Raw genomic sequence first — 10,763 nt, 5'->3', positions numbered from 1 at the left:
GGTCCTTAGTTTGGATGGGGTAGGATGATGTTCTTTTCTTCCTCAGCAAAAGAAGAAAGGCCCTAGGATGTAGGAAGCAGAGCCCATTTAGAAGGAACCATTGCTTCTGCTGCTCTTCTTTCCCAGAAAGGTGGTGGCTCTCCTGACACCAGGACAGTGGCTCCTGGCTCTCCAGGCTGTGCTGCAGTGTAGGACCCTGCTGTGCAAATCACCAGGGGCTGAGATTTGCTCCAGGTTGCTGTTATACCACAAAACTGGAACACTGGCAAAATGAAGGGTCTAAGACCTGAGAGTGAAGCCTCAGCAGACTCACAGTGCATGCTGATTGGATTCGGAGAAAACTTAGAACTATTCTCTGAACAGACAAGATTGGAAAGGACAAACATTCCTGCTCCCAGGAAGGTAATGCCAGGTTGGGGAGAGGGGAGGAAAAAGGGAAAGAGTGAGGAAGAGACCTTCTGATCGAGTCCCTGTTCCACAGGATTTTATGTCTTTTATGTATTTTTATTATTTATTTATTTATTTATTTTTGAAGACAGAGTCTGTCTCTGTCATCCAGTCTGGAGTGTAGTGGCGTGATCTCAGCTCACTGCAACCTCTGCTTCTCGGATTCAAGCAATTCTCCTGTCTCAGCCTCCCGAGTAGCTGGGATTACAGGCACATGCTACCATACCCAGCTAATTTTTGTGTTTTTAGTAGACAGGTTTCACTGTGTTGCCCAGGCTGGTCTCGAACTCCTGACCTCAAGTGATCCGCCCTCCTTGGCCTCCCGAAGTGCTGGGATTACAAGGCATCATCCACTGAGCCTGCCAATTTTATGTCTTATTGCAAGTTCCTAAGGGGCATGCATATAACAACTCACTGCTCAGCCTAAAAGGTTTTCCACGCTGAGCAGAGACCTGCTGATTCCTTGAGGGCAAGATCTTTGCTTTCTTGATACCTCCCAGAAACCTGGGAAAATGTCTGGCACATGCTACTGGTAGATTCTCTCATAAATTCATCTTGAATTTGATTATTCATGAGGAACAGAGGGCTTAGAAAATATTACTAGATGGTGTCGATGCACCTTGTGGAAAAATCCACTTGTTCTTCAGGGGTTTGGCAACTAAACAAAGGTTTATATAAATATTTTTAAACTACTGCTCTGTTGAACTTTGCCAGGTTTCTGGTTGCTAACCTAGCAGTAACAAGGCTAACATTGTTTTATAATTAGACTTATGGCTCTCTACCTCGTTAGAAGATCATAAGGAAATTCCAGAAACTCTGTGGGTGCTGTCATTTTGGGCATTCCAGAAGGCAAAGTGAAACAAAACAAAACAAAAGGTAGTTTAGCATTATTCTATGATGACAGTTAGTGTCAGAAGTAGAAGGGCAAGAAAACTCTTCATTGAATGGAGCTTATTATTCTGTGACAATTAATAAAACCCAAGGACTCTCAAGAGGAAAACTTCAGAGCCTTTGAATAACAACTTTCTGCCACAGCCCCCCATTGTTTCTATCCACGCTGTTGTTCTTCACTCTTTAGTTATGAAATGTAATTTCATTTTTGGAATCTCAAAAAAGATGCTACGGAGTCTCTCAGAGCCTAATCTGAGCTGAGGAGGCTGCCTGTTTAAAAAACAAAACAAAACAAAAACAAAAACAACAAAAACAAAAAACACCATCAGCCCCCAAACTGTCAGATTTCTTGCCAAAAAAAAAAAAAAAGTGAAATCCATCTTCTTCTGCATAGGAAATGTAAAAGTTTACTTCCTGCCCTTTATTCAGTGCATTGGAGTAGTTTACAAACTATCAAGCTTCAGATTTGGGGATATTTGGCTTTGTACCCTTTCAAATGAAAAATATTTGCTGAGAGTGGTGGTCAGCCTTCGGGGGACCCCCAGTGATCCCCATCACTTGGTGTTCATTTTCTTCTGTAGATTCTCCCACATCGAATAGAGATGACCTGTGACACCAACAGGGATATTGTGGAAATGACAGGATATTGTGACTTTCGAGGAAGGTTTTAAAAGATGCTGAGGTGTCTGCCTTGCTCTCACAGCCGCCATGTTGTAAGGATACTCAAGCTGTCCTCTAGAGAGGGCCACGTGCTGGGGAGCTGAGGTTTCTCACTACACCCAGCACTGACTTGCCAGCCATCAGAGTGAGCCAGCGTGGCAGGGGATCCTCTATCCAGTCAGGTCTTTGGCTGACTGCAGCCCCATTTGACATCCGAACCTTGTATGAGGTCCCTAGTTACTCAACTAAGCCATTCCCCAGTTTCTCACTAACAGAAACGGGGTGAGAAAATAAATGTTTGTTGCTTTTTCACTCTGTTAAATTTCAGAGGATTTGTTACACAGCAATAGATAACTGATATGCCAGGTGATGGTTATTAACTAGAAATCAGAATTAGTCATCAAAAATAGTCAGAATAGGAGCTGATACGAGGCACAAATTCAGATAATAAAGTTCTTCATTGCGTCATTTTTGCTAGAATTTAGAAAATCAGAGCTGATTCAAAGAGATTAAATTTGGGGAGACTGATTTGTAAGCAGTGCATGAGGTACCGCAGGTCAGGAATGAATGAAGGAAGAGATAAGAAATTCGACGGGGAGAGATGTTTACTTTTTAAATGCCTGCAGCCAGTCTTATCAATGACTAAGGCTTTGCGGGTAGATCCAGGTAACCAAGGACCAATTCTTGAGAGTAAAGTGCCAAGCAATAGGTGGTCAGCTGAAAAATGCAGAGGTCAGACTTTCAACTGCCGCTGCCACTCACCACAGGCCTGGTCGTGGGAGAAACTGCTACTGGGTCAGAAGAGCCCTGAAAAACATTCTCAGTTTGCCAAGGCAGAATTTCAGGTACCCACTACCAATTATTTGAATCTACGCCAGGTTTAACAAACCTTCCCTTCCCTCCCCTCCCCTGCCCTCCCCTGCCCTCCCCTGCCCTCCCCTGCCCTCCCCTCCCCTGCCCTCCCCTGCCCTCCCTTGCCCTCCCTTCCCCTCTCTTCCTTTTCTTTTCTTGAGAGGGAGTCTCGCTCTGTTGCCCAGGCTGAAGTGCAGTGGTATAATCTTGGCTCACTGCAAGCTCCACCTCCCAGGTTCAAGTGATTCTCCTGCCTCAGCTTCCTAAGTAGCTGGGATTACAGGCGCACACCACCACGCTGGCTATTTGTGTGTGTGTGTGTGTGTGTGTGTGTGTGTGTGTTTAGTAGAGGCGGGTTTTCACCGTGTTGGCCAAGGTGGTCTCGATCTTCTGACCTCGTGATCTATCCGCCTCAGCCTCCCGAAGTGCTGGGATTACAGGCGTGAGCCACTGTGCCCGGCCACCCTTTTCAAGGGTAGCAGAATTGAAATAGGATTTGTTGTAATCTTTCCTTAGAATATAGCAAGAAGGAAAGATACTCTCCTAAGGCCAGAGGCAAGAATTAGGAAACTGCAGCCTTCCACTCAGAGCAGGATGGGCTCCTAGATACCACGAGGAACCCTCTCCTGCTACGCTACCACTTAATCTTGGACAAATCATTGTGAAGATATTTTATAAGGCATTGCTGGGTTTGTTAGGAATATACGGGACTAACAACCATGAGCTGAGAGAGATGCACCCTAAATGAACAGAAGAGCCAGTGCTCCTGAGGACAAATTCTTACTGCAACTCTGGGATGATGCGCCTTGCTCAGACAACACAAAGACTCACACATAAGACTCAATGGGGCAAAAGTGGCCCTATTTGCAGAGTAGTCATCTAACTCTGTAAATGCAAATACATCTGTTGGATGCAAATCCAGCTAACTCTGTAAATGCAAATACATCCGCTGGAAGAGGTTTAGAGGGAAGAAAGGGGATGGGATCAAGCAGGAACACATACGTAGCTTCAATGACAGCATAATATTCTACTTCTTGGTTTTTTTTTTTTTTTTGAGACAGCATCTTGCTCTGTCACCCAGGCTACAGTGCAGTGATACAGTCTTGGCTCACTGCAACCTCTGCCTCCCGAGTTCAAGTGATTCTCCTGCCTCAGCCTCCCAAGTAGCTGGGATTACAGGTGGATGCCATCACACCCAGTTAATTTTTGTATTTTTAGTAGAGACGGGGTTTCACCATATTGGCCAGGCTGGTCTCGAACTCCTGACCTCAAGTGATCCACCCGCCTTGGCCTGCCAAAGTGCTGGGATTACAGGTGTGAGCCACCATGCCCAGCCAATCTTCTACTTTTTAAGTTGCAGGGGGGATTGTGTGTGTACCTGCATCATTGCTTACATACGTTTTGCATCCACGTGTAACTTTTTTGGTTTAAATCAACTACAGAGGAATAAATAAATAAAACAACACAGTCTGCCTCCCTTACCAGCTTCTCCAAAGAATCCAGAAGACAGATTTAAAAGTTTGGGCAGGGGGGATCAGATGTAGGAGTTCAATTGCCTGGTTCAAATTGCTCAGCGTTAAAAGTGATTTTCTTTACTTGCTACCCTGACTACTTCCCTTCTGGGGAAAAATAAAACTCCAGGGTGGGGAGAGGAACCCGAACATAACAGGGCCAGTGTGATAGGGCTCCCTAACTGAGGGTAAAGGTCTTGAAAACTGCTGAGACAGACAAAGTTTATAGTTGGGAGATTTACTTAAAAGAAAAAATAGAGTTGGGGAACAAAGAAGCCTTGATTTAGTAATAATGGGAAATGTACTATTTATTTCCTTCCACTCCCCCTGCTTGACAGTCAGGCTCTCACTTCCTTACAGTTGTCAGGAGTTGTGTATTTGCTTCATTCTGTTGTATGACAAAGGTTAGTGAGAAACTTGTTTATTTTTTTGCACTTAGTTCCATTCAAATAAATATTCGGATTTTATGATTCCACCTCAACAACCCTGAACTCCTCTGTGCCTTATATCTTTTTAAAATTTAATTAAAAATTTTTTTTTTGAGACAGAGTTTTGCTCTGTCACCCTGGCTGGCGTGCAGTGGTGTGATCTTGATTCACTGCAACCTTCGCCTCCTGGGTTCAAGCGATTCTCCTGCCTCAGCCTCCTGAGTAACTGGTTTACAGGCCCCTGCCACCGTGCCCAGCCAATTTTTGTATTTTTAGTAGAGATGGGGTTTCACCATGTTGGCCAGGCTGGTCTCGAACTCCTGACCTCAACTGATTTGCCCTCCTCGGCCTCCCAAAGTGCTGGGATTATAAGCGTGAACCGCCGCACCTGGTGCCTTATACCTTTTAACTCTCTTCTTTCTCATGTACACTATATGAGTATAGAACACTAACAAGTATAGTTCTGAAATCATAATTTTTGCATCATCTTTTCTTTTTAAAAAATCTTCCTATAAATTGTCTTGCAGTCTCAGATATTAATAATGAGAATTCAAAATGATGCAGCTCCTATGGAGAATAATTTATCAATATTTAGTGTAATTATCCTTGCATTTACCTTTTGACCTGGCAATTGCATTTCTAGGAATTTATCCCAAAGCTGCAAAGGACAAAAGCATAAAATGCAACAAATATGCTCAATGCCATCGATTGGCAGTGTTATTTATGATAGCATTATAATAGAACTAGAAATATCATTAATGTCCACCAATAGGGGACAGTTTGAACAAACTACAGTGCATCCATATGATGAAGTTTTAAGAAGTTTAAGGAGGAATGAAGATCTCGCTGTACTGCTATGGTATAATTTCCTGATATATTTAATATCCCAATTTATTAAGTGTATTTATATACTTACTATATAAAAATTTATATATATATATAAATTTTTATATAGTAAGTATATAAATTTATTTATTTATTTATTTATTTATTTATTTATTTTTTTTTTGAGACAGGATATCACTATGTTGCCCAGGTTGGAGTGCCAGTGACACTATCATGGCTCACTGCAGCCTTGACCTTTCAGGCTGAGGCAATCCTCCCACCTTAGCCTCTCAAGTAGCTGGGACCACAGGCATGCACCACCACGCCCGGCTAATTTTTAAATTATTTGTAGAGATGGGGGTCTCCCTATGTTGCCCAGGCTAGTCTCAAACTCCTGGTGTCAAGCCATCCTCCTGCCTCAGCCTTCCAAAGTACTGGAATTATAGGTGTGACCCACTGCACCTGGCCAAGCATTATATATATACACACATATATATATATACACACATATATATACACACATATATATATACATATATATATACACACATATACACACACACATATATATACACATATATATACATATATATACACACACATATATACGTGTATGTGTATATATATATACATGTGTGTATATATATATATATATATATATTTTTTTTTTTTTTTTTTTTTTTCAGTTGAAGTCTCCCTCTGTTGCCCAAGCTAGAGTGCAGTGGCACGATCTCGGCTCACTGCAACCTCCACCTCCTGGATTTAAACGATTCTCCTGCCTCAGCCTCCCGAGTAGCTAGGACTACAGGTGTGTACCACCATGCCTAGCTAATTTTTGTATTTTTAGTAGAGATAGGGTTTCACTATGTTGGCCAGGCTGGTCTTGAACTCCTGACCTCAGGTGATCTGCCCGTCTCGGCCTCCCAGAGTGTTGGGATTACAGGCGTGAGCCACCACGCCCAGCCCCAAGTCTATTTGTAAAAAGTATGCCTGCTTCCTTTCCATTTCACTCTCCTTTGATGAATGAATTTTCATTCATCCGTGAGACTAGGATGAGTGGTGGTGGTCTTCTCAGGGAAAACTTTTCCTTTCCACTTGCTCTCTGGATAATGATAAGGCCCCTCCGCTTTGCTGTGGAAATATGCTGTCTCCATCCCTGTCACTGCATTCCCTGCATTGCACCACAATGATCTGTTTGTGTGTCTCTCAGCTAATGCATGTGGCTAATCTTTGAGAAAAGGGCCCTCAACTTGTTCATAACATGCACAGTTAATAAATTCTCACTGAATGAAGGAAAGAATAAACAAAGAATGTCAATTAAGGAGTTTGAACTTTATCTGAGGGACTGGGGACCAAGGAGAGGATGTTTTTTTAAAGCAGGGCAATCAATGATAGTACTTTTTTTTTTTTTTTTTTTTTTTTTGAGGCAGAGTCTCACTCTGTCGCCCAGGCTGGAGTGCAGTGGCGTGATCTCGGCTCACTACAAGCTCCGTCTCCCGGGTTCACGCCATTCTCCTGTCTCAGCCTCCCGAGTAGATGGGACTACAGGCGCCTGCCACCACGCCCAGCTAATTTTTTGTATTTTTAGTAGAGACGGGGTTTCACCATGTTAGCCAGGATGGTCTCTGTCTCTTGACCTCGTGATCCGCCTGCCTCGGCCTCCCAAAGTGCTGGGATTACAGTCGTGAGCCACCGTGCCCGGCAGATTGTACCTGTTTTTGAAAGATCAAGTATTAATCAGAACAAAGATAGGGGCGTACAAGTTGCAGAGGAGAAAATGCCCGGTCCATTTAGCGGAGGCAGGAAAGTCTCAGAGCAGGTGTGGTTGGAGGTGCGACTTGAGGATTCATTCATTCATTTCTTCAAAACAATTTACTGGACATATACTGTTTGACAGTGCTGTGGCAGAGCCTGAAGTTATAAAGATAAACATGAAAGGTCTCTGAGTTAGACAACCAGATAGTGGGAGTGGGGAAGGCATTCTAGGAAGGGGAAATGACCAAGTGGATACACCAGGCTCTGAGAGAGCAAGGCATCGAGCTATTCGCTGCTGAAGTATGAAACAGCCAAGTACAATATGTAAGACTAGACTAGGGGCAGGGTGGAATCCCTAAAATCCCTCATTTTAAGACTGAAAACCTGCATGAAAATGGCAGCGACACTACAGCTGTATTCAGCTTGCTATGAGAAAAGGTACTTACTTGGGCAGTGCCCAGTTTTAGAAATCAGTCTTCAAATTGCAGATAATCATTGTGGGGTGCTTACTGAAATAGTTGTTTTTACTTGTGAAATAATGATGATGATTGCTAAAAAGGAGGCATTCATTTTCAGCATGTGAAAGAGGTCAAGGCTCCAGTGAGCTGTGACTGTACCACGACACTCCAGCCTGGGCAGCAGAGTGAGACTTCATCTCAAAAAAATTAAAATAAAATAAAATAAATAATAAAATAGAGTACAAACAATCCTCACTTTGCACAGTAGTGCAGGGCCACAAAAATGACCATACAAGCCGAAACCGTGCAAAGCAATCTTAATCAATGGGAAAAATTAAGATTCTTCTGTGACCTTTAAAAATTTTGTGTCAAAACTCTCTTATTATCTATAAATGTATCAGGAAATAAAAAATAGTAAAACAAATGTTCATTTAGTATCAGGTAACTTAAAATGTTAGAAACGCTGAGAATTACAGTGTTTTATTTCTCTGTGAAAAATATCGAGATTAGTTTGTACAGTGATGTCTTCTTCTAATCATACAACTTACGATATGAAGCAGCATCTGTTTTGGCACCATCATGCCTCACTGCAGCCTCGACTTCCTGGGCTCAAGCGATCCTCCCACCTTAGCCTCCCAAGTACCTGGGACTACAGGCATGCGCCACCTCTCCTGGCTAATTTTTGTATTTTTTGTAGAGATGGGGTTTTGCCACATGGCCCAGGCTGTTCTCAAACCCCTAGGGCTCAAGTGATCCTCCTGCCTCGGCCTCCCAAAGTGCTGAGATTACAGGTGTGAGCCACTGCACTTGGCCGACAGTGTTTTTTTCTATGTCTTGGAGAATTGTCATACTCCTAAATTTGAATCAACTTCCAACATTTTATCTTTTGTGCTTGAATGAGAAATATTTCTGAGAGTTTCTTTAATGTGATTATTTTTATCTGCCCATGTCACTCCCTCTGGAACATCTTTATGCTTTGTGTCACAACTCATTCCCCACTTATGTGGCCAAGTTCATGTTCACCAAGTTCCTGGGCTGTACATCTAGTCTCTGGAATAGCAGTGGTGTCCACATATCCATGCTTGGCTACTTCTTCCATAACTCCATTTACATTTGATTGGAAAGGCACTGCTAGCCTGATTACTTTTCATTTATTTGCTGCACTTTTATTTTTTTTTACCAGATAATTCCCTCTTTTTAAAAATTTTATTTTTATTTCCTCTTCTACTAACTCGTTTTTGTATATACTTCGCTGTCTGTGTGTGAACTGAATAACAGATGTTCGGTGACCAACAGCAGACTAAGAAGTGACATAATTGGTCACTGATCACGATGTGCATGTTATTTGCATAGTGATTTAGGGACTGAAGAGCTAGGAGTCAAATTTATACTTTATCTAATTACTGTTAATATATTTTAGTAAATGCAATTTGCACCATGTTGCGTTGGGGGACGGGAAACAGAAATTTATGCATATCAGAACTATGCAGGCTGGGCGTGGTGGCTCACACCTGTAATCCCAGCACGTTGGGAAGCTGAGGTGGGTGGATCACCTGGGATCAGGAGTTCGAGACCAGCCTGACCAACACGGTGAAACCCCGTCTCTACTAAAAATACAAACATTAGCTGGGTGTGGTGGTGCATGCCTATAATCCTAGCTACTTGGGAGGCTGAGGCAGGAGAATTGCTTGAACCCGGGAGGTGGAGGTTGCAGTGAGCTGAGATCACGCCATTGCACTCCAGTCTGGGTGACAAGATCGAAACTCCATCTCAAAAAAAAGAATTATGCGGAGTGTGACCTGACAATAAATGACTATAAGATACAAATGGATTCTATTTCTTAAATTTTGATAAAGACTTACTCATACAATAATGTCTTAATTTTTGATAATGACTTAATTAATAAGGTATGACTTAATCAGACAATAATGTCATCTATATATTATCTTAATATAAATTTTAAAATTTATTTGCAAAAAGCTATCATTACTGATAACCTTTTTTTTTTGTTTTTTGAGACAGAGTCTCGCTCTGTCACTCAGGCTAGAGTGTAGTGGTGTGATCTTGGCTCACTGCAACCTCCGTCTCCTGGGTTCAAGCGATTCTCCTGCCTCAGCCTCTCTAGTAGCTGGGACTACAGGTGTGCACCACCATGCCTGGCTATTTTTTGTATTTTTAGTAGTGACAAGGTTTTGCCAGGTTGGCCAGGCTGGTCTCAAACCCCTGACCTCAAGTGATCTGCTCGCCTTGGCCATCCAAACTGCTGGGATTACAGGCATGAGCCACCACACCTGGCCTCATTATTGACAAACTTTTTATTAGATTAATTAATCTGTGGCCGGATGTTGTGGCTCATGCTTGTATTCTCAGCACTTTGTGGGGGCTGAGGTGAGAGAGTCACTTGAGGCCTGGAGTTTGAGACTAGCCTGGGCAACATAGTGAGGCTGCAGTCTCTCTAAACAAGCAAACAAATAAATAAATACACATACATACATACATACATACACACATACATATGCAATCTCTGACACAATTTCTCTCCAAACTTTTTCTTTTTCTGGGTAAAAAATCATCCCAATAGTATCTTCCTACCTATACTCTTAATTTCAAAAGTGGTGGTGAAACTTACAAATATGATCTTAAATTTACATTCAACTTCATGTTAATTTATCCCTAAATGCATTTTGCTGTCAGTCATGGCCTTTTAGTTATAATCTTAGTATGGACTCAGTGTCTCAAACAGAGCCTTTGTCTTCCTTCTCCCAGTGCCTGTGAAGTTCTCTTTGGAAACTCCTGCCAGGGGCAGGATATGCTGGGGCATTCAGGAGAGGGGCTTACACCCTGCAAGAGGGCCGTCTGTTGTTGACAGCACAGCTCTGGGGAACCCATATACCCTTTGGTGGAAACAGAAGTTTGACCTCTTACTCAGTGGTGGT

This window comes from Homo sapiens, chromosome 6 (assembly GCF_000001405.40).
Source record: "Homo sapiens chromosome 6, GRCh38.p14 Primary Assembly".
NCBI classification, from domain to species: Eukaryota; Metazoa; Chordata; class Mammalia; order Primates; family Hominidae; genus Homo; species Homo sapiens.
Note: the sequence above shows the minus strand (reverse complement) of the source record.